Source organism: Homo sapiens, chromosome 17 (assembly GCF_000001405.40).
Source record: "Homo sapiens chromosome 17, GRCh38.p14 Primary Assembly".
Classification (NCBI taxonomy): Eukaryota; Metazoa; Chordata; class Mammalia; order Primates; family Hominidae; genus Homo; species Homo sapiens.
In genome coordinates, this window is record NC_000017.11 from 49,359,154 (window position 1) to 49,381,733 (window position 22,580).

The 22,580-nt window shown below is 47.5% G+C and overlaps 1 protein-coding gene and 1 long non-coding RNA gene across 9 annotated transcripts in view, besides 2 other annotated features; one reads left to right on the forward strand and one right to left on the reverse strand.

Annotated features, from left to right (window-relative positions):
* ZNF652 (zinc finger protein 652) overlaps positions 1–3,320 on the reverse strand; it is a 74,357-nt gene extending 71,037 nt beyond the window's left edge. For 4 of the 6 annotated variants that reach the window (NR_135579.2, XM_047435628.1, NM_001145365.3 and 1 more), the window contains exon 1: positions 2,756–3,097. The gene's annotated coding sequence lies outside the window, so the exon portion shown is untranslated. Of the gene's footprint in view, positions 1–2,755; positions 3,098–3,259 lie in introns of those variants that run through there. The other 2 variants (XM_047435629.1, NM_014897.2) reach the window with 1 other exon arrangement.
* Positions 1,996–2,055: an enhancer, noted in NCBI's record as "active region_12360". NCBI's record gives its function as "activates an Ori minimal core promoter by ATAC-STARR-seq in GM12878 lymphoblastoid cells {active_cell/tissue: GM12878}" and the evidence as "EXISTENCE:reporter gene assay evidence [ECO:0000049][PMID:35858748]".
* Positions 2,012–20,941, forward strand: ZNF652-AS1 (ZNF652 antisense RNA 1). 3 transcript variants are annotated; one of them, NR_110883.1, is made up of 5 exons: positions 2,217–2,246; positions 5,126–5,196; positions 13,860–14,001; positions 16,157–16,356; positions 20,827–20,941. It is a non-coding gene; the product is annotated as a ZNF652 antisense RNA 1 (long non-coding RNA). The 3 variants fall into 3 exon arrangements; NR_110884.1 differs by lacking the exons at positions 2,217–2,246; positions 13,860–14,001; positions 16,157–16,356; positions 20,827–20,941 and adding exons at positions 2,012–2,068; positions 6,546–6,962; NR_110882.1 differs by lacking the exons at positions 2,217–2,246; positions 13,860–14,001; positions 16,157–16,356; positions 20,827–20,941 and adding exons at positions 3,229–3,364; positions 6,546–6,962.
* Positions 2,596–3,465: a silencer, noted in NCBI's record as "silent region_8668". NCBI's record gives its function as "represses an Ori minimal core promoter by ATAC-STARR-seq in GM12878 lymphoblastoid cells {active_cell/tissue: GM12878}" and the evidence as "EXISTENCE:reporter gene assay evidence [ECO:0000049][PMID:35858748]".
* Positions 20,942–22,580: the final 1,639 nt, after the last annotated feature.

The following is a 22,580-nucleotide window of genomic DNA, read 5'->3' on the forward strand; positions in this document are numbered from 1 at the left end:
ATATACAAAGAAAAGTAACCTACTTGCAACTTTGAAATGGTTTGGGTTTAGAATAGCCAAATGATTTCCGACAGTAAAACTTCAGGCATGACATGAGCAAAAAATATAATGTGTAATATAAAGCACTGGCAGCATGTTTATGAGATAATAAAAAAGGCAATATTTGCAACTTCAGCATGCTTTCAAACTTATAGGGTATGCTGCATAATTAGTAGAATAAATGCTATTCTTCAGGTGTATGGAACAGGTTCTATAGGCAAGATTCCAAGGCTCCCTTGCCTTCCAAAGTGCCAGTTAATATCATAAATTCCTTAGCTTCTCAGAACCCCCCAGATGCAAAGAATAGGAAGGTCTCAAAGAATTTTTTAAGTGAAAAATAATGGCAGAATCGTAAGCTCCTAAAGAGCCGGTACTGTGCTTAAAATTACTACCCATTCCAACACTATCACAAGCTGGAATAAATATCTCCTGATTGCAATACGACCGAAAGGCAAAAGCTGGGTGCAGAGTAATTTAAACAAAAATAGCTGATATTTATCACCTGCTTATTGATAGAATGGTGCAAAGTTCATCCTCAGTTCCAGATTCTATATATGGAGGCTGAATTCCCTAACCACAATTAAAATCCTTCCATTAAAACAAAATTTCAAAATGAATGATTTTGATGGCACCATCCCCATTAAGACATGAAATCACAGTTAACAAAGTTGAAAAAAAAATCCTTTTTATGGAGCAGGTACACCGCTATGAGAATGATATAGCCTTCTTTTAAGAGATCAGATCAACTTCAGCCAACGCATAAAGATTCAGGATAGGCATTATAAAACAGACCTTGGACTTTGCTGTTGAAATTTGCTACATTTAGAATCTGGTGCCAGGAACATACATTACCAATTGGTCAAGTCTAAACAAATTATTTTGACTCTAGTTTTAACTTTTTCTGAAAGACTCTCACATACATTTCCTTTTTACAGGAAAACGAGGAAATGATAATTTACAAATACCTAACTTATCCTAATCAAAGAACAAAACACAAGGTTACATGCATAAGCTACTTTGTTGTTTATTGCTCAGGGCCAGACAATGTACTCTAATCCTTTTTAAAAAAAAACTAACCAACTAAACAAAACACACAACGCAAGTTCCTTTCACTTTTGCATAACAGAGATCTTAACCTGAAGTCCCAGGACCAGCTTCAAGTTGACTTTAGTGGCATACAAAATTATGTGTCTATTTAATGGAGAAGACGGTTCTAAAGACTTCCATGAACCCAAACAAAGATTACTAACCACTGAAGTCAGTTCCAGGATCACTAAAACTTAGTGAACAGTTTAAACAAAATTATACTAAAGGTATTACCTATCTGAATACTGTGCACGGTCCTGATATAAACAACCAAGCTGCCTGCCACCACTGACAATCACAGTGTCAAGCCCCACTCACAAAACAGCCCCACTCGACGACATCACCTGTATTCAGCTCAGACACCACACATCCCAGCAACAGCAGCTCCTCAATCCCTAAGCACACACATGTTGTCAACAAAGCATGTGCTAGTTGCCATTCCCAGAACAATACGGGCCTGGCCATCCTCTGGAAAAAAAAAATACACATTCTTTCCTGAATACTACCCTACGAATACATTATGCCTTGATCATAGATCCCAAACACTACAACAAAATAGGAGAAACTTGCACACACCATATCTAATCAACTGGGAAAAAAGCATCACTCAGGTGTTCCTGAGGGTCCACGGGAGATGCATGTAAGGGATACACTATGATAATGATGCTTGAACACGGGAACAATCTGGGGGCAAAGGCAGACTCACGCAGGAACACCCCGAAAACGTGGATGTGGAAAGCACCCTTCTCCAAAGGCACAAGCACATTCCTTTGATTGGCAAAAGCCATTTCTGACAATGGATCCGCGGTGACAGGGGCTGCTCGGCAATCAGGAAGTGAGTGAGTGTATGAGTGTGTCTGTGTTGTGGGGGAGGGATGCTCTAGTTGTGATCAAAGCTGGACCTTTTCAGAGAAGGTCTCGAATCCTGAAGACAGACTTCGAGGTGAGGCAGGGGCATTTATCATTTCTATTGGAGACATCCCTCGACAATGAACATGTTACGTGGAGATGTAACGGGGGTGTCACTACCTTTGGTGTCTCGGATCTAAGAATCTTCAGCAGAGCCTGATTGGAGGGGAGGAGGAGGTGGGGGTGGAGAAAGGTCTGCATTACCCACTGGGGTGAGTGTGGGGCTGCCGGTGGCGGGTGTACATCAGACGCATTTTATCTACTGGCGGCACAATACTCCCGGGGGTTGGAGGTTTGGGTGCAACCGCAAGGCGGGGGAGGTAGTGGGTGCAAGCCACCAGCTGCAGGGCAGGAGAACGCTCGCAGGAGGACCGGTGCAAACCTCCTCTCGGCCCGCTAACCCGTGCCGCCCCAGCCTCCCCTCAGGCCTCAGGGCGAGCGGACCCGCTGCAAAACTGCAGCCAAGCCCGGGTCCAGGAGGAAGGGGGCGAAAGAGCAGGAGCGGGGCGCCCCCAGCCCAAGCTGGGTGCCTGAGGAGCTCAGCGCCCGGGGCCTCCCAGCCGGATGGGGGCTGCTCCGGCCTAGCGCACGCAGCTGCCTCGGCGAAGGGTTACGCCGGCCCCCGGAGCCCGGGCCGGCCCCGCGGGCGGCGGAGAGGAAGGGCTGCCGGGGGCGCCGCCGCGGCGGTGGCGAGTGCGTGGGGGAAGGGGCCCTTACTCACCCGGGCCGGCCGCCTCCGCCTCCGCCGCCCCGGCCGCCGCCTCGGCGGTCCATCCCTGCGGCGGGGGCCTGCAGCCGCGGCGCTCGAGTCACAACCGCCGGCTGGGCCAGCCCCTCCCCCCCTGCCCAACGTCTGTCCTCAGGGCCGCTCCTCAGACCCGGCCTCGGCCGCTGCCGCTGCCGCCGCAGCGCTACGTGGCCGCCGCTCCGACGTCTCGCGACTCCCTTCCCAGCGCGCGAGGGCGAGCGGGGCCGGCGGGGCGGGCAGCGCGGGGCGGGCGGCAGGGGAGGGGGTGTGCGTGTGTGGATGTGTGTGCCGGAGGGGGCAGGGAGGGAGGCGAGCGGCGGCGAGGACGCGCGCGCCCGCGCGCGCCCGCGGCCCCTTCCCTCGCTGGCCCCCCCGCCCAACGGGGATCCCGACACCTCCCTCCGCCCGCCCCCTCAGCATCCCGGCCGCTGGGAGCGGCGGCGCGCATGCGCAGCCCTCGGGCCGGCCCGGGCGCACCTTTTCTGTCTCCTGCCACATTGTGAGCGCTCCGCCGCCCAGATAACCGCCGGCTCCCCGCGCCGCCCCCGCCTTCTCCCACTCCGCCCACTGCCGGGAGCCCAGGTAAAGACGAGAGCTGCGCATGCGCGGCGCTCTCCGTGAGTCGGGGGGCGTGGTTGCCGAAAGGAAGCCAAAGTGAAGAGTGCAGGGGGTTGTAGCAGGCGCTGCTGTGGGATTCCACAAAATAGGCGCGGGTTAGGATGGGGAAGGTAAAGTGAAGAAACGGGCCAAAGCAGAAAAGTGGGTCGACGTGAGATTTGGAAGTAAAAAGAGACTTTGAATAAAAACTTAACGACTGCTGACCTCCTTGTTCTCCTTGGAGGGCAGTGGGAGTGACGGGGGGCAGAAATCAGCTCGGCAGCATGCAAGCAGTAGTGGTCATTCGCCGTATGAATGGGACCGCTAAAAACTGAACAGTTTCGAGATTGCCAGGGTGCTCAGAAAAACAGATTTAGAGCCTCGCCTGTCCTGTGGCCAGGAATAGGGAAGGGGATGTGTGTGTTTGAGACCTACAGCAGCTGCGGTAAAGGAAGCCTCCATTGTATTACAGTATTATGACTAATTAGCTATTAATCATTAATATACTCAGTGGTACTATTAGTTAACAAGGTAGCATTTATCCGAGTTCAGAGACAAGAGAGTGTCCATAATTGAAAGTGTTTAGGGTACAGGGAGAGGAAATGAACCCGGCAAGGTGAAGGCCTGGGATGGAAAAGACCCAAGACAGCAAATCCGAGGTCAGGGTTCCCTTTCCCAACATAAACCAAACTTCCCTGAAGTTGTCCAAATCCTACCTTAATTGGAACTCCTTCCATTATTAAAAGCACACTTAACTAATGTTCTTGCACTAAGGCTGACCCCAATAGCACATAAACATTTTCTTTTTCTTTTTTTTTTTTTCTTATTTGAGACATGGTCTCACTCTGTCACTCAGGCTGGAGCGCAGTAGCATGATCACGGCTCACTGCCGCCTCCTCCTACCACGCTCACATAAGCCTCCCACCTCAGCCTGTGGAGTAGCTGGGACTACAGGAGTGTGCTGCCTCACCTGGATAATTTTTAAATTTTTGTAGAGACAAGGTCTCCCTATGTTCCCCAGGTTGGTCTCAAACTCTTGGGCTCAAGCAGTCCTCCCACCTCAGCCTCCCAAAGTAATGGGATTACAGGTATGAGCCACTGTACCTGGCTGACATTTTCAATACACATGCAGCTACTTTTCCCTAAAATAGCACTGCTATGGTTTGAATGTGTCCCCCAAAGTTCACATGTTGGAAACTTAATAATCCCAATGCAAAAGTGTTGGAAACTGGGGCCTAATAAGAGTTTATTAGGTCATGAGGGCTCTGCCTTCATGAATGGATTCATATCATAAACAGTGCGTTAGTTATCTCCAGGCCGGGCGCAGTGGCTCATGCCTGTAATCCCAGCAGTTTGGGAGGCCAAGGCAGGCAGATCACTTGAGGCCAGGAGTTTGAGACCAGCCTGGCCAACATGGTGAAACCCGTCTCTACTAAAAATACAAAAAAATTAGCTGGGCGTGGTGGCATGCACCTATTATTCTAGCTACTCAGGAGGCTGAGGCATGAGAACCACTTGAACCTGGGAGGCGGAGGTTGCAGTGAGCTGAGATCGCGCCATTGCACTCCAGCTTGGGTGACAGAGTGAGGCTCTGTCTCAAAAAATAATAATAATAAATTAATTAATTAATTAAAAAATAAACAGTGGGTTAGTTATCTCAAAAGTGGGCTTGTTATAAAATCAAGTTTGGACCCCTTTGCTCTGTTGCTCTCTCATGTACTCTCTTGCCCTCCTGCCTTCTGCTAGGGGATGATGCAGCAAGAAGACCCACACCAGATGAGGGCGCCTTGATATTGGATTTCCCAGCCTCCAGAACTGTAAGAAATAAATTTCTATTCTTTTTAAATTACCCAGTCTGTGGTATTCTGTTACAGCAACACAAAATAGACTCCAACAAGCACCCCACTCCCGTGACCCAAAATCCTGCAGGGAGTAAGATGACCTGAGTCTGGGACAAGGTTAGGGAAAAGATTGAAACTTTCTAAGCAAAGGGGTCCAAGAGCTGACTCTGTCCTTGTCCCCTTCCAAAAACAGATGCTTGACTTTTATTACATCTGGTCTCTGGACTCTAGGGATAATTTTGGCAACTTTGGGTCATGTTTTTCAATAATGAGTTTTTTTCAGTGAATAAACACTAAAAACAATACCATATTTCAGCAGGTAGAGAGAAAATCTTCAGGTAGAACAGGAGGAAATAAGCAGAAGTAATAAAAGGAGAGACAGATTCAATGTGAGAAAGACCATGGTATCCATAGGAGCTGGTGAGCCTGGGACATCTCAGTGAGGTCAATGTCTCGCTTTGCCTTTTTAGACATTTGATCCGTTCCCCACCCTCTGCTAGTCAGAGCTATCCAGCTTAGAAGAGGGGTGTGCAGAATGATGGCTAATGAATGAGGTGACTTTCCCAGTGTCTGTGACTCTCCACCCACAGGCCAACTCTCTGAAGGATTCCTAGTAACTAAGTATGGTTTTTGCAGGGAGGTTATGTCCCTTATCTCTTTTTCTTTCTTTCTTTTTTTTTTTTTTTTTTTTTTTTGAGACGAAGTCTTGCTCTTGTCGTCCAGGCTGGAGTGCAGTAGCGTTATCTCGGCTCACTGAAACCTCCACCTCCTGGGTTCAAGCGATTCTCCTGCCTCAGCCTCCTGAGTAGCTGGGATTATAGATGCGCACCACCACACCCGGCTAATTTTTGTATTTTTAGTAGAGACGGGGTTTTGCCATGTTGGCCAGGCTGGTCTCAAACTCCTGACCTCAGGCAATCCGCCCGCATCAGCCTCCCAAAGTGCTAGGGTTACAGGCGTGAGCCATCGCATCCGGACTTATGTCCATTATCTCATCAGATCTTCCAACAACCCTGCAAGGCAGACAGGATAGATATTATTCCCAATGAAGGAAATTCAGGCCAAGGAATGTTTAATGGCTCAGGCAAAGTCACCCAGCTCAGTAAACAACGGAGCCAAAGCAGGCCCCAGGCTCCCTGACTCCCAGCCTGCTGGTCTTTCAGAGGCTTTGACAGGCCTGCTCTGAGAATCCGCCATTTATTGCCATGTAGTGAAAACAGGTGCCCTTAGCATGTGATGGAGAATAATTCTAACATTCAGTTCTACTTCTCTATCTCCTTTATTTAATGTTTTTTTCCTTCTTCTTTCTTTCTTTCTCTCCCCAGAAGCCTGGGACTTGCCTCTGTGATCTGGTGCTTTGGAGGGCCTTGGGCCTCAGGGCTAGCAAGGTCCCTTTCTGGAGATTCCAGTTCCTCTGCCCGCCCTCCTTTACCTCTTTCTCCTCACACATCTGTCTGAGGGATGGGGATGAGGGCTGCCAACCAATGTTACCACTTGACAGACCACAAGAGGGCTGGTTCCAGTGCCTCCCTTGTTCAGCTGCTGACACTGCAGCTTGGCAGTCATTGAAGGCAATATTTAGCTCCTACATCTGACCTGATTGGAAGATCAGGCTTCTGTCGTCCTGGTTTCCTGGCCTTGGATAGTTCTTCACTAACTTTTATTCATTAAGGCAGTGGGCAGAAAGCAGCAGAACCCTGTTTTTTCTTTTTTTGGGGTTTTTGTTGTTGTTGTTGTTGTTGTTTTGTTTTTTTTTGAAACAGGGTCTCCCTCTGTCACCCATGCTGGAGTGCAGAGGTTCTGTCATAACTCACTATAGCCTCGACCTCCTGGGCTCAAGCAATCTTCCCACCTCAGCCTCCTGAGTAGCTAGGGACCACAGGTGCATGCCACTATGCCTAACTAATTTTTGTATTTTTTTGTAGAGATGGGGTTTTGCCATGTTGCCCATGCTGGTTTTGAACTCTAGAACTCAAGCAATCAGCTGGCCTCAGCCTCCCAAAGTACTGAGATTACAGGTGTGAGCCACTGTGCCTGGCCAGAACCTGTTTTTTGTTTGTTTGTTTTTGTTTTGTTTGTTTGAGGCGGAGTTTTGCTCTTGTTGCCCAGGCTGGAATGCAATGGCGCGATCTCGGCTCACCGCAACCTCTGCCTCCTGGATTCAAACAATTCTCCTGCCTCAGCCTCCCAACCAGCTGGGATTACAGGCATGCGCCACCACGCCCAGCTAATTTTGTATTTTTAGTAGAGATGGGATTTCACCATGTAGGTCAGGCTGGTCTCGAACTCCCAACCTCAGGTGATCTGCCCGCCTCGGCCTCCCCAAGTGCTGGGATTACAGACGTGAGCCACCGCGCCCAGCCCAGAACCTGTTTTTTAATTTAAAATTCTTATTTAAAAGTTCTGTACATTTTGAGAATTCTTAAAACCTTCACACATTTAATTTAAATAGCAGCAGAGATATCTGGTTCCTGGTAATGTGAACAGGATGGCTTGATACAAGCTCCCTGCTCACTGCATTTCCTCACTTCCTAAATTCCTAGGGATGTACCTCCAGTGAATAATAGTTTTTACCACCTGTACATATACAGGGTCAGCGGCCATGGCTCCTTGCTCACCCATTAACTAAGATCACATCCTACATACAGTACCAGACTTAGAGCCAGAGCCCTGGTCATGGCCTCCTAGGTTCTCACACTTGACTTTTACTCAATCATTTCACCATTTAGGCTTTATAAAAAGGGGAGACTGGCCGGGCGCGGCGGCTCATGCCTGTAATCCCAGCACTTTGAGAGGCTGAGGGAGGTGGATGACCTGAGGTCAGGAGTTTGAGACCACCCAACATGGTGAAACCCTGTCTCTACTAAAAATACAAAAATTAGCCAGGTATAGTGGCACATGCCTGTAGTCCCAGCTACTCTGAGGCAGCTGAGGCAGGAGAATCGCTTGAACCTGGGAGGCGGAGGTTGCAGTGAGCCGAGATCATGCCACTGTACTCCAGCCTGGGTGACACAGTGAAACTCCATCTCAAATAAATAAATAAATAAAATGGGGGAATTATATGACTGTTAGGGTCCTCCAGATCTGATACCCAGGACTGTAATCTAAAGACTTGATTATGTTCATTAATACATGGCAATTTCATTCCTTTCCTAAGAATTACTATCCAAAGATCATCCCTAAGCCCTTCCTACAAGAAACTGCCCCTTTTACAGAATGAATAAAGTTGTCCTAGATTCCCGTTTTTTCCTCACTTTTTCTCATATCTCTAAGTGACAGTATCCGGAGACAGCTCAGAAAGCTGGATTTTTAGCTTTTCGTCATAGGGCTTGTATATGTACATGCATGCATGCACAAATGTATGTATATGTTCATTCTTAAAGGGATATGGGCCATGGGCACCTTCACTCTGTGGCCCCCCACCTCCCACCAGCCCTACTTGAATTTTAGTAAATAGTAATTAAATGCCAGGACCAGGCACAGTGGCTCACACCTGTAACCCCAGCATTTTTGGAGGCTGAGGTGGGTGGATCACCTGAGGTCAGGAGTTCGAGACCAGCCTGGCCAACATGGTGAAACCCTATCTCTACTAAAAATACAAAAATTAGCCGGGTTTGGTGGCACACAACTGTAATCCCAGCTACTTGGGTGGCTGAGGCAGGAGAATCACTTGAACCTGAGAGACGGATGTTGCAGTGAGCCAAGATCGCACAACTGCACTCCAGCCTAGGCGACAGAGCAAGACTCCATCTCGAAAGAAAGAGGGAAGGAAGGAAGGGAGGAAGGAAGGAAGGAAGGAAGGAAGGAAGGAAGGAAGGAAAAAGAAGAGAAAAGGAACTCCATCTCTACTAAAAATACAAAAAAATTAGCCAGGCATGGTGGCGGGCACCTGTAATCTCAGCTACTTCAGGAGTCTGAGACAGGAGAATTGCTTGAACCTGGGAGGCCCTTGCAGTGAGCTGAGATTGTGCCACTGCACTCAGCCTGGGCAACAAGAGTGAAACTCCGCCTCAATGATAAATAAATAAATAAATAAATAAATAAATAAATAAATAAATAAATGCCAGGATGCCTAGAAGAACAAAAGAGTATGTACTAAGAGGCCAGATATATGAGTGCAGCTGTAGTGATAAGGAGGCCATTGGGATAGCCAATGTCACATAGGTCTAAAGTTTGGTTTTAGCTAGAGCTTTCTTCTACCCTAATACTGCCCCCATGTCCTGACAGCGGGTATTGCAGCAAATCCTGGACTGCAGCCAGAAGCTCTGGTCTCTACATCAGCTTCTCCATTTGAAACATCTCAGAATTTGAATTTTGACTACTCTGGTGTTAACATCAAAATGCATTTCATGGGCCGGGCCTGGTGGCTCACGCCTGTAATGCAGCACTTTGGGAGGCCAAGGCAGGCGGATCACGAAGTCAGGGGATCGAGACCATCCTGGCCAACATGGTGAAACCCTGTCTCTATTAAAAATACAAAAAATTAGCCGGCGTGGTGGCAGGCACCTGTAGTCCCAGCTATTCAGGAGGCCTCAGCAGGAGAATTGCTTGAAGCCAGGAGGTAGAGGTTGCAGTGAGCTGAGATCGTGCCACTGCACTCCATCCTGGGCGACAGAGCGAGTTTCCATCTCAAAAAACCAAAATCAAACAAACAAAAAAACCCACAAAAAACCAAAATGCATTTTATAGTGTTAAAGAAAACATATTTATGTGGCAATTTCTACACATTTTTCTTCTGCATTACTTCATTTAATCCTTCTCTCAATCCTGAGAGCAAAGGACAGAAAATGTTGTTCCCACTGTTTTCCACTGTTTGGTTTTGGTTTGTTTCCTTTCTTTTTTTTTCTTTGAGACAGGCTCTTGCTCTGTCACTCAAGCTGGAATGCAGTGGCATGATCATAGCTCACTGTAGCCTTGACTTCTTGGGCTCAAGTGATCCCACCTCAGCCTCCCAAGTAGCTGGGACTACAGGCACACACCACCACATCTGGCTAATTCTTTTTTATTTTTAGTATAGACGAGGTCTCACTATGTGACCAGGCTGGTCTCCAACTCCTGAGCTGAAGCTATCCTCCTGCCTCAGCCTCCCAAAGTGCTGGGAGATCTGGCCCTTGTTTTTTGTTTTTGTTTTTGTTTTTTATGAGATGGGTGGCTGTTGCCCAGACTGGAGTCCCGTGACACGATCACAGCTCACTGCAGCCTCGACCTCCCCAGGCTCAGGTGATCCTCTCACTTCAGTTTTTTTTGTATTTTAGTAGAGACAGAGTTTTGCCATGTTGCCCAGGCTGTTCTCGAATTCCTGAGCTCAAGGGATCTGTCTGCCTCAGCCTCCCAAAGTGCTAGGATTACAGGCAGGAGTGAGCCACTGTGCCTGGCCCCTTGCTGTTTTTTTGTTTTGTTTTGTTTTTGTTTGTTTGTTTTACAGCAAATAAAAATGCAGTCTGGATTTTAAGGGCCACACAGCAGCAAGAACTAAAACCTGGGTCTCCAAGGTCCAAGTCCAGGACTTCTCTATGACACCCTACTGCAGCCCTTTGCTGGATACCATACAAAGCAAATTGAGCAGATGTGTTCTCTGCCCTCTGAAAGTTTGGACTCAAATGGACAGCCACAATTCTGGCAAACATAAAAGGACAAAGTGATTTAGTGTCAACTCACATACGCAATAAATAACTGAGTTAAATAGATAAGGAAAGGCATGTTCACCTGGTCTACTGATATTTTTTAAATTCCAGTTGAGTAGAGAGCAATGTTAATAAGACTAAGGTTTTGGGCCAGTCCCATTTTTGCCTACTTGCTTTGCACCTGGAAAAATATTTGTAACTGCATGCAAACTCTTTCCCCTCCTCGTCTTCAACAATCTGTAAACTTTCCCTGAGCAGCTACCAAGTGTAACACAAAGTGGGAATGAAGGACCATTAAGAAATCATCTCTGTGCCATGCGCGGTGGCTCAAGCCTATAATCCCAGCACTTTGGGAGGCCGAGGCGGGTGGATCACCTGAGCTCGGGAGTTCAAGGCCAGCCTGGCCAATATGGTGAAACCCTGTCTCTACTAAAAATACAAAAAAAAAAAAAAAAAAAAAATAGCTGGATATGATGGCATGTACCTGTAGTCCCAGCTACTCAGGAGGCTGAGGCAGAAGAATCGCTTGAACCCAGGAGGCAGAGGTTGCAGTGAGCTGAGATTGCTCCATTGCACTCCAGCCTGAGAAACAAAAGCAAAACTCTATCCCCACCCCCCCCAAAAAAAAGGAAGGAAAAGAGAAGAAAAAAAGTCATCTGTGCCCTCGAGCAACATCTTTAACCATTCGCCTAATTCAAACCACTGGGATGAAAATGTATATCCTGTATATACCATCTCTACTGCTGGGAAAAAAGACACGTCAACTCAATACCCATCCTATTTTTAGACGGCCTGAGATTCGTCCTTATCCATGCAGGGCAGTCGGGTAGGACAATGAAGAGGTGGACTTCTGAATTTGAGAGAAATTGGTCTTATCCCAGAGAAGTGAGGCCACCACCCACCTGCAATAGCTTGGCTTCCTGGATCCCTAAGCAAAGGTAGAAAGGAACCCTGGGGTTAGGTAGTGTGGGCAAAGACCTGCAGCCGGAGAATTCCCTATCCTCCTATCTCAGAGCAGACTGTTGCAGCCCTCAATTCATCCTTTGGGGGTTCTGCCTCAGGCTCTTGTCTCCAGTAGAATGATCTAAGGATCTAAGGGAGCGAGGCCCAAATTGTGTTTGAGTCTTTAAAGAGACTCACAAATCTTTTTAAGCAGCAAGCTTAATTGTTGTCTGTAATTGATGTGACATATGCCCCAGAGGCATGCACTGAGGTCCAATTGAGATGGTTTTTTAAAAAAATTGGAATTAATTAATTAAAGAAGGCAGCTGCACGGGCCTGGTAGTTGGTGCCAAGCTCTGTAACCCTAAACCAGCCAACCAACCCAACTGGCCTCACCACCTGAGGAACAATCCCTGCAGCTCTCATGGAGATGAGATGGGATGGAAGTGCTGGGAAGCAGTGCAGGGAAGAGGGGCTTGCAAGGGGGAACGGTGGGGCTCAAGGGACCCACTCTTCACTTTCATGATCCCCCAAAGGCTTAGCTCTTGAGAACTGTTCGGGGGGACTAGGTAACTGGGAAAAAGGGGTGGGAAATTCAAATGGAAGTATGTGAGGGGCAGGCGAGATTTTGGGGGAGGGGAAGCCAGGGGGCTGGAATGGGAGGGGGAGGGGTTCGCAGGTGTGAGAACGGTGTAGCAGCTCCGGTAGGGAATGGAAGGATCCGGGGGTGGAGAGGCCTATGGGCGGAGCTCAGAGGAGGTGGAGCCTGGGTGTGGGGGCGGTAACATGGTGCCTGAGGCCTCAGCACTCAGAGGAGGTGTTAATTAAACCCCTTACCTGAGGTCGTTAACAATGCTGTGGCAGCTTTTCCTAGGAGTTGGGTTAATAACAGTAATAATAACAATTAACGATAATGAGACCTTATCTGGAGAAAGTTGTTCCTAGAGATTGTAGGCATTAAGTCATTAATTCCCCTGGCCCCTGAGGGCCACCTTTTCCTAAAAAGTAAATGTTGGTGCAAGCAGACACAAACAATCCTTGTGCACCTGAGGACTGAACTGGTGTCCTGTGGCCAGTCTGCTAGGCTTGCTGCCCTTGGCTGACTGGGTTAGTTCATTTACACGGGGATAATATCCAGAGTTCGATTAGGGCATCGTAAACTGTTATAATTTTTTGCATTATCTAAAGTCTCTGAAACGATGCTTAAATGAAGTGAGGTCAGAAATCACCACCATAAGATGCCAACACAACTTTGATGTTGAAAACTCGGCCAGGAGCGGTAGCTCATGCCTATAATCTCAGCACTTTGAGAGGCCAAGGCGGGTGGATCACTTGAGGCCAGGAGTTCGAGACCAGCCTGGCCAAAATGATGAAACCCCCATCTCTACTAAAAATACAAAAATTAGCCAGATGTGGTGGTTCACACCCGTAGTCCCAGCTACTTAGTAGGCTGAGGCATGAGAATCACTTGAACCTGGAAGGCAGAGGTTGCAGTGAGCCAAGATCGCGTCACTGCACTCTATCCTGGGTGACAGAGCAAGACTCTGTCAAAAAAAAAAAAAAAAAAAAAAAAAAGGAAGAAAAAGAAAAAGAAAAGAAAGGAAGGAAACAAACTCAAGCCCCACCTAAGAGCACCAGCCTGAACAACATGCTCCAGTGGAGGACGGCCTGGAAATGCCCCAATACTGCATGGTGAGGCCCCGATTGGCTGAGTCTCTGCTAGAGATGGGGCAAGACTTCAGGTATCTGCCCCGGCGGACCAAGAAGGGAAATTTAGAGCAAAGGCTTGAGGGAAGTTAAAAAAGGAGTTTTCTTAGATTGGGGGAATCACATGGGATAGCGGTTGCTCCAAAAGCCTTGAGCAAACTTTAGTGCCAATAGTGGCTGGCCTTGCAGAGTTAAACATAGCAGCGATTACTACAAATTATTATATATGCTCCAATCCAAAGACGGACTTTGTATTCACATCTGGTAGATGGGAAAGTCATCATCATTATTCCAGTCAAATATCAAAGGCAGCAATATAGAGTGTGTATTGTATAGTACATTTATTTATTTTTTATTTTATTTTAGACAGAGTCTTGCTCTGTCACTCGGGCTGGAGTACAGTGACACAATCACGGTTCACTGCAGCCTGGACCTCCCAGGCTCAAGTGATCCCCCTGCTGCAGCCTCCTGAGTAGCTGGGACTACAGGCCTGTGCCACCATGTCCAGGTAATTTTTAAATTTTCTTTTCTCTCTCTCTCTCTCTCTTCTTTTTTCTTTCTGAGACAGAGTCTTGCTCTGTCACCCAGGCTGGAGTACAGTGTTGTGATCTTGGCTCACTGCAACCTCCGTCTCCCGGATTCAAGCAATTCTTCTGACTCAGCCTGCCGAGTAGCTGGGACTACAGGCGTGCACCATGGTGACCAGCTAATTTTCGTATTTTTTTTTAGTAGAGTCGGGGTTTCACATGTTGGCCAGGCTGGTCTTGAACTCCTGACCTCAAGTGAATTTTTAAATTTTCTGTAGGAATGGCAGTCTCACTATGTTCCCCAGGCTGTCTTGAACTCCTGGGCTCAAGCAATTCTCCCACCTCGGCTTCCCAAATTATTGGGATTACAGGCATGAGCCACTGCACCTGGGCAACACCTTGTTTTAAACAACAACAACAACAACAAAACCTCAATGTACTTAAACAGAATGGGTCTCCTGGTGGTCCTTAGGTCATGGGGTGGGGTCATGATGCTGTCCATTAATGAAAGGGCAGGTGAAATCTAGAGCAGGAGCTAAGCCTATCTGAATCTCAGAGCTGGGCAGCAGAAGAATCTATGTCATGAAATAAGAGGGACCAGTCCCCACTCTTCTGACCTTAGGCCCCTCCCCTATTCCTTTAGAATCATAGCCTTTCTTCTCTTACCTGTATTACTACAAAGTCATCTGTAAGAAGGTACTGGAACTTTCAGGGCTTGAATAACAATCTGCCTTATAGGTTGCATTAGAGAACATACAGTAAAGTATTATTTGGTGAAGTTAGGGAATGGAGTGTTCTCGTTAATCAAATAATCTGGTTAACAAAGTAGCACTCAACGTATAGTAATATTTGGGATATACTTATACAGGTTGAGTATCCCTGACAAAATAATCTGAAATCCAAAGCACTTCTGGTTCCAAGCATTTGGATAAGGGATACTCAACCTATACTAAAATTATTCACTGTTTATCTGAAATTCAAATTTAACAAGGTGTTCTGTATTTTGTCTGGAGACCTTACTGATACAGCTTAGATGTCCTCTCCAAATCTCATGTTCAGATATAATCCCCAGTATTGGAAGTGGAGCCTGATGGGAGGTATTGGGGTCATGGGAGCAGATCCCTCATGGCTTCGTGCTGTTCTCACCACAGTGAGTGTGTTCTCTCAATCCGGTTGTTTCAAAGTTGTGGCGCCACCCCCCGCCCCCACCCCCACCCCCATCACTCACTGTCTTGCTCTTACTTTTGCCATGTGACATGCCTGCTCCCACTTCACCTTCTACAATGAGTAAAAGCTTCCTGAGGCCTCCCTAGAAGAGGAGCAGATGCTGTTGCCATGCTTCTTGTACAGCCTGCAGAACTGTGAACCAATTAAACTCTTTTCTTTATACGTTATCCAGTCTCAGGTATTTCTTTATAGCAATGTAAGAACAGCCTAATGGCTGGGCACAGTGGCTTATGCCTGCAATCCCAGCACTTTGGGAGGCTGAGGCAAATGGATTGCTTGAGCCCAGAAGTTCAAGACCAGTCTGGGCAACATGACAAGACCCCGTCTCTACAAAAAAAAAAAAAAAAAAAAAAAAAAAAAAAAAATTAGCCAGGCCTGCTGGCATGCACCTGTAGTCCAAGCTACTTGGGAGGCTGAGGTGGAAGGGTCCCTTGAACCTGGGAGGTGGAGGTTGCAGTGAGCCAATATTGTGCCATTGCACTCCAGCCTGGATGACAGAACGAGACTCTGTCTCAAAACCAAACCAACCCAAAAAAAAAAAAAAAAAAAAAAAGAACAGCCTACAGCTGGGCGCAGGGACTCATGCCTGTAATCCCAGCACTTTGGGAGGCTGAGGTGGGTGGATCACCTGAGGTCAGGAGTTCAAGACCAGCCTGGCCAACATGGTGAAACCCTCTCTACTACAAATACAAAAAATTAGCCAGGCATGGTGGCACACACCTGTAATCCCAGCTTACTCAGAAGGCTGAGGCCCGAGAATTGCTTGAACCCGGAAGGCGGAGATTGCAGTGAACCGAGATCATGCCACTGCACTCCAGCTTGGGTAACAGAGAGACTCTGTCTCAAAAAATAATAATAAAATAATAAAAAAAAAATTAAAAAAGAACAGCCTACTACATTTTCTTGCAGGTCCGGTCCACTGCTAGGAGATCCATATCTACTCTTTGGGAGTTCTCCAGAGGAAAAAATCAACAGGCGGGAGAAAGATACTCTGCTAGCTTCAGATTCATTAGTACTAGGAAATGGAGAGATAGGAGGTATAATGTATTAGGGAAGCAAGGGATTCAGAACCAGGTGCCCACTGACTCTGAGAAGCACTGGGTGCACAGGTAAGATGCTGCGAAGTCTTTAACTGGCCTCCATGTCAAATTAAACAGTTGTTTCAGAGATCTCAGGAAAGAAAGCCTAAAACAAAATATCATCTACTCTTTAATGTTATCCAACACCCAGACAGAATCCCACCATAAAGTGGGAACAGATGGGCAGCTTCTAGACCTCATTTCTCTATGCCAGCAGAGAGGAAGCAGGGTCTGGGCACAGTGCTCATGCCTGTAATCCTAGCACTTTGGGAGGCTGAGGCAGGAAGATTGCTTGAGTCCAGGAGTTTGGGAATAGCCTGGGCAACATAGCAAGACCCCATCCCTACAAAAAATACAAAAAAAAAAAAAAAATAGCCAGCATGGTAGTACGCACCTGTAGTCCCAGCTACTCTGGAGGGTGAGGTGGAGATCACCTGAGCCTGGGAGATGGAGGCTGTAGTGAGCTGTGATCACACCACTGCGCTCTAGCATGGATGACAAAGTGAGACTCCATCTTTTTTTTTTTTTTTTTTTTTTTTTTGAGACAGTTTTGCTCTTGTTGCCTAGGCTGGAGTGCAATGGTGCAACCTCGGCTCACTGCAACCTCAACCACCCAGGTTCAAGCAATTCTCCTGTCTCAGCCTCCCAAGTAGCTGGGATTACAGGCACCCACCACCATGCCCAGCTAAATTTTGTGTTTTTACTAGAGACACGGTTTCACCATGTTGGTCAGGGTGGTCTCAAACTCCTGACCTCAGGTGATTCACCTGCCCCCCAAACTGCTGGGATTACCGGAGTGAGCAGAACAATAGCCCCCAAGGATGTCCATATCCTAATCTCTGGAACCTGTGAATATGTTACTTTACATGACAAAAGGGACTTTGCAGATGTGATTAAGTTAAAGATCTTGAGATGCAGAAATTATCCTGGATTATCTGATGGACCAATGTAACCACAAGAGTCCTTAGAAGAGGGAGGCAGGAGCTTCAGAGTGTGTCACTGTGGAAGCAGAGATTAGAGTGATGTGACTGCTGGCTTTGAAGGTGGGAGAAGGACAGGAGTCAAGAAATGCAAGTAGCCCTAGATGGAACACAAACCTGCCGACAGGTTGACTTAAGCCCAGAGCTGTAAGGTAATGGATTTGGGTTGTTTTAAGCCACTACATTTGTGGTAGTTTGTTATAGCAGCTGTAGGAAATAAATTTGGTTCCCCATTGTTTACAGGGAAGTCTGAACTGCTTTGCAAGGCACTCGAGGGCCTTTTGCTATCTGGCCCTTGCCTAGCTGCCTGGCTAGCCTGGTCTCCCCACTCACTCACCAGGGGTTTGCATATGGAACTTCTCCAGCATCCTTAATAGGCCATGCCCTTTCTTCGATCCATGCCCTTGTCTGTGCTGTTTCTTCCACCTGGAACACCCTCTCTTTACTTGTTTATCTGGCAAACTCCTCATCCTTTACATCTCAGCTCAAACAATACCTCCTCTGTGAAGCCTTTCCTACTTCCCCCAAAGGGACTTAGGCCTCCTTTTCCTGTGCCTCCGCTGTGTTTTACGTCCACTCCATTTAAAGCAGCTCCTGTACTTTAAGGAGCTGTTCATTTCCTCACTGGACTGTAAGCTACGTGAGGGGATAGGACCTCCCATTTGACCTTTGGTCTCCCTTAGTACCTGGCATGGTCCTCAGCTCATCAAATAAAGGTCCCCAGGGACAAGAGTTCTTACCCTGCCTGCCAGCATGCCCTGGACTGGAGATGCAGCCCCTCCAGCTCCACCTCTCCATCAGTAACATGCATTAGGTCAGCCATCCCTTCTCTTCTCTGTTAAGAGACAGGGACAAAGGAAATCAGACATGGAAGTGCTTCGGGTTCAAAAAAGAAAAAGGTGCTTATCAAAGTTTTGTAGTATTTTCTCAAAAAATTTTTTTTGAGACAGGGTCTCCCTCTGTTGCCCAGGCTGGAGCACAGCTGCACAATTTCAGCTCACTGCAACCTCTGCCTCCCAGGTTCAAGTGATTCTCGTGCCTCAGCCACCCGAAACACCACGCCTGGCTAATTTTTGTATTTTTAGTAGAGACGGAGTTTCACCATGTTGGCCAGGCTGGTCTTGAACTCTTGACCTCAAGTAGTCTGCCCACCTTGGCCTCCCAAAGTGCTGGGATTATAGGTGTGAGCCACCGTGCCTCGCCAAAGTTTTGTAATATTCCCTTTCCTTCCCTTTCCTCCCCCTCCCTCCCCTCCCTTCCCTTTCCCTCCCTTCCCTTCCCCTTCCCTTTTTTTCTTGGACTTGCCATGTTGCCCGGGCTGGTCTAGAACTCCTGGCCTTAAGCGATCCTCCCATCTCAGCCTCCCAAAGTGCTAGGACTACAGGCATAAGCCACCATCTCTGGCCTGTAATATTTCAATTGTACCCACGGTCTATAATGTTTCCTCTCCAAGTATCAATCCCTTTGGGAAATGGATCTAGAGACAAGCTTCATGAAGACAGGAACTGTGTCTACTTTGCACCCCACTGTATCCCCAGCATCTAGCACTGTTCTTTGCTCTCAGGTGGATTCTCTGGTGTTAGTTGGTGAAGATCTTAGAGGAGGCTTTCTCGCATTCTTTTTGAGACAGGGTCTTGTTGTGTCACCCAGGCTGGAGTGCAGTGGTGCGATCATGGCTCACTGCAGCCTTGACCCTTGACCTCCTGGGCTCAAGTGATCCTCCCACCTCAGCCTCCCAACTAGCTGGGACCACAGGCACACACCACCATGCACAGCTATTTGTTTTTTTTTTTAATTCTTTGTAGAGATGGGGTCCCACTATGTTGCCAAGGCTGGTTTTGAACTCCTGAGAGCTCAAGTAATCTGCCCACTTTGGCCTCCCGAAGTGTTGGGATTACAGGCATGCACCACCGTGCCCGGATGTCTCACAGTCTTTAGATTCATAGTTTCACCTCTCTAAGGTGCTTGCTGATGTTGGATATCATCTTGAGTGAAGGTTTCCCCACAGTTACTACATTCAAGTAATTGAGTTCCATGGTATTGAGTAAAGTGTGCCTTCCAAGCCTCCAAATTCCCCGAGGGCTCTCCCACGACATAGCCAGACACAAGATTCCTTTCCAGTAGGAATTCTCTGATGTTGTAGAATATGATTACTCCACTCAAATAAAGGCTTATGCACACTTATTACACTTATAAATGTTTTCTCCAGTATGAATTCTCTGATGTTTAATGAGAAGCAAAATGCAAGTGAAGGTCTCAATAAAAGCCTGTTACACACCCAGCCCTGTGCTCAGTGTTCTGAGGGACTCCCAGATGGAAGGCCTGGGCTCTGCCCTCCAGATGTCTACAACCTTGTTGGGGAGACAAGACTCATGTACTGCGTTACACAGCCGGAGAACATGAGACATTATGTAATCATATCAAGCCACATCGTTTAGTGGAATTAAATGGGAATTGGGAGAAATGAGAGTTCAGCCAGAGCTTATCTGGATGGGGAAGGGGACATAAAGGACTTTAGACTTTAGCTGAAAGGATGGTAAGATTGCGCCTGGAAGAGAAAAGGGGAAGGGTGTTCCAGGTTGTGGACTCCAGCAAGAACAAAGACATGCTTCTGCGGGGACTCACTGTTTTAGACTCTGAGGGAAAGCAAGAAAGCGAGAGGAAAAGAAGAGAGGGATGGAGGAAATAAGAAAGGGAGGGAGGGAGAGAGGAAAGGATTTGCCCTTTCATTTAGGAAACTTCCACAAACTTTGTGCAGCAGCCTTTGAAAATTTTATTCTCAGCTGGGCCCCATGGCTCACGCCTGTAATCCCAGCACTTTGGGAGGCCAAGGGGGACAGATCACGTGAGGTCAGGAGTTCGAGACCAGGCTGGCCAACATGGTGAAACCCCATCTCTACTAAGTACAAAAAAATTAGCTGGGTTTGGTGGCATGAGCCTGTAGTCCCAGCTACTTGGGAGGCTGAGGCAGGAGAATCGCTTGAACCCGGGAGGCAGAGATTTCAGTGAGCTGAGATTGCACCACTGCACTCCAGCCTGGGTGACAGAGCAAGATTCCGTCTCAAAAGAAAAAGAAAAAAGAAAATTCTCTTTCTCCAATGCCTTTCTCCCTTTAGAAATTGAGTCACTTTCACTTTTCCCAGGCACACCTAAAAAGGAACGCTTTACCGCTGTGCTGCATATGTACATCCTCCCTCTGCCCCAGCCTTCTTGGGATCCATTCCAGTTCCACGACCAGGAATGTTACCCTCAGCCCAATGTGCCTTGGTGACAAAGGCACCAAGTGGGGAGAAAACCCCATTCAGGAGAGGGCCCTCGGAGAGCACCCAAGCATGCCCAAACCCTACGTCTTCTTCTTTCACCTATCGCATCCTCTAAAAATTGTCCATAGGGGATGTTGACAGAGTGAGGGTCATCAAATCCAATGGCTTTTTACTTATATCAGTTTTGTAGGAGTTTTTATGGAGCATTCAGAGTAGAGAATACTTTATAACTTTTCCTTGTTTTCTCCATTCTGCAGAGGGTAGCAGACAAGCAAGAGGGTGGAATTTGCAGCATCTCATCTTGGTGAGACAGTTGGAAGACTTTTCTGCCAATTATAGTGGTTAAACACTGACTCAACATCAAACAACGGCATGAGGGGTCAGAGCCTTCATTCGTGGACAAGTTTCAAAAACATGGGAGCACCACCTGTCATGAGCAATTTAGTCAGAACAGAAGAGAATAGATCACACCCAACAAGACAGAAAAAGCTGCTTTCTGGAGAGGGCGGGAGCTAATATTTCCTAACACGGTGAAATTGTGAAGTGCTTTTTGCAGCCCTTCATAATTTCATCATCCAAAGGGTTTGCTTTTGGAATTCTTAGACACTTAATTCTGTCCCTGCTTTCCGTGTCACTTCCACGGGACACTGAATTTGGGAAGAGGGAGACCTCACCAATGATGGGAAGAACAGATTGGGGGCTGGCGCCCTTTTGGGTTTGCCATGTGAACATCCTCCTGGAACAGTCTCCATTCTGTCCCAGCAAGACACACTCTGCTCTGTGAAGAACCCAGGTGGGAAAAAAAAAAAAATCTATGAGGCCACAGTGGAAATGCAGCTCAGCAGGACTCTCAGGTACCCCAAAATTGTCCCATCTGACAACTCACCACATTCTATTTATTTATTTATTTATTTATTTTGAGATGGAGTCTCACTGTGTCACCCAGGCTGGAGTGTAGTGGCGTGATCTAGGCTCACCGCAGCCTACGCCTCCCAGATTCAAGCGATTCTCCTGCCTCAGCCTCCCATGTAGCTGAGACTACAGGCATGCGCCACCACACCCAGCTAATTTTTGTATTTTTAGTAGAGATGGGGTTTCGCCATGTTGCCCAGGCTGGTCTCAAACTTCTGACCTCAGGTGATCCACCCCCGCCCCTCAGCCTCCCAAAGTTCTGGGATTACAGTCATGAGACACTGCACCTGGCCAACACATTCTGTTTTCATCATTAGTGCCTGTCCTCCCTGCTAGCTCATGGGCTCCCCCAGAGCAGGCATGTTTGCCCTAGTCACCATCAAAACTGTCTTAGTACCTGTCACGGTGCCTGGCACATAGCAGTTATTCAGTAAATGTTTGTTGAATAAATCAACTATAAACATCAAAATGATTCCCTTAAAAAGGTCTTCATTCTTGTTCAGATGTAGAGAGTTACATTACAAACACTTGTGTGCTGGGGATAGGAAGGGACACTGTTGGGTAATAATAAGTGCTTGAAACATGTGGGAGGGCCCTGGAAAATAGCCCAAAAAGTTCACATTGTATCTGATAAGCAACAGGGAGCTACTGCAGGTTCTTCAGGTCACCAGTAGGCAAGCAGGTGGTGGCTTTCCAGGCTGAAAAGTGTATTTGATCTGGAAGATAGTAGGATCACAGACAAACAGTGAGTCTTGGAGTAGCCTGATCACAGTGGCAAGCTCAAGAGACAATTTTATGGCTGAGGGCTGAATGTTTCAGCTGGGTGGGTGTCAAGAAACCAGCAAGACTCCAGGCATGGTGGCTCATGCCTGTAATCCCAACACTTAGGGAGGCCGAGACAGAGGATCCCTTAAGCCCAGGAGTTTGAGACCAGCCTGGGCAGTATAAGGAAGCCCTGTCTCTACAAAAATAAAAACATAACAAAATTAGCCAAGTGTGGTGGCGTGTGCCTGTGCTTCTAGCTCCTTCAGAGGCTGAAGTGGGGAGGATCACTCGAGCCTGGGAGGTTGAGGCTTCACTGAGCTGTGATCATGCTGCT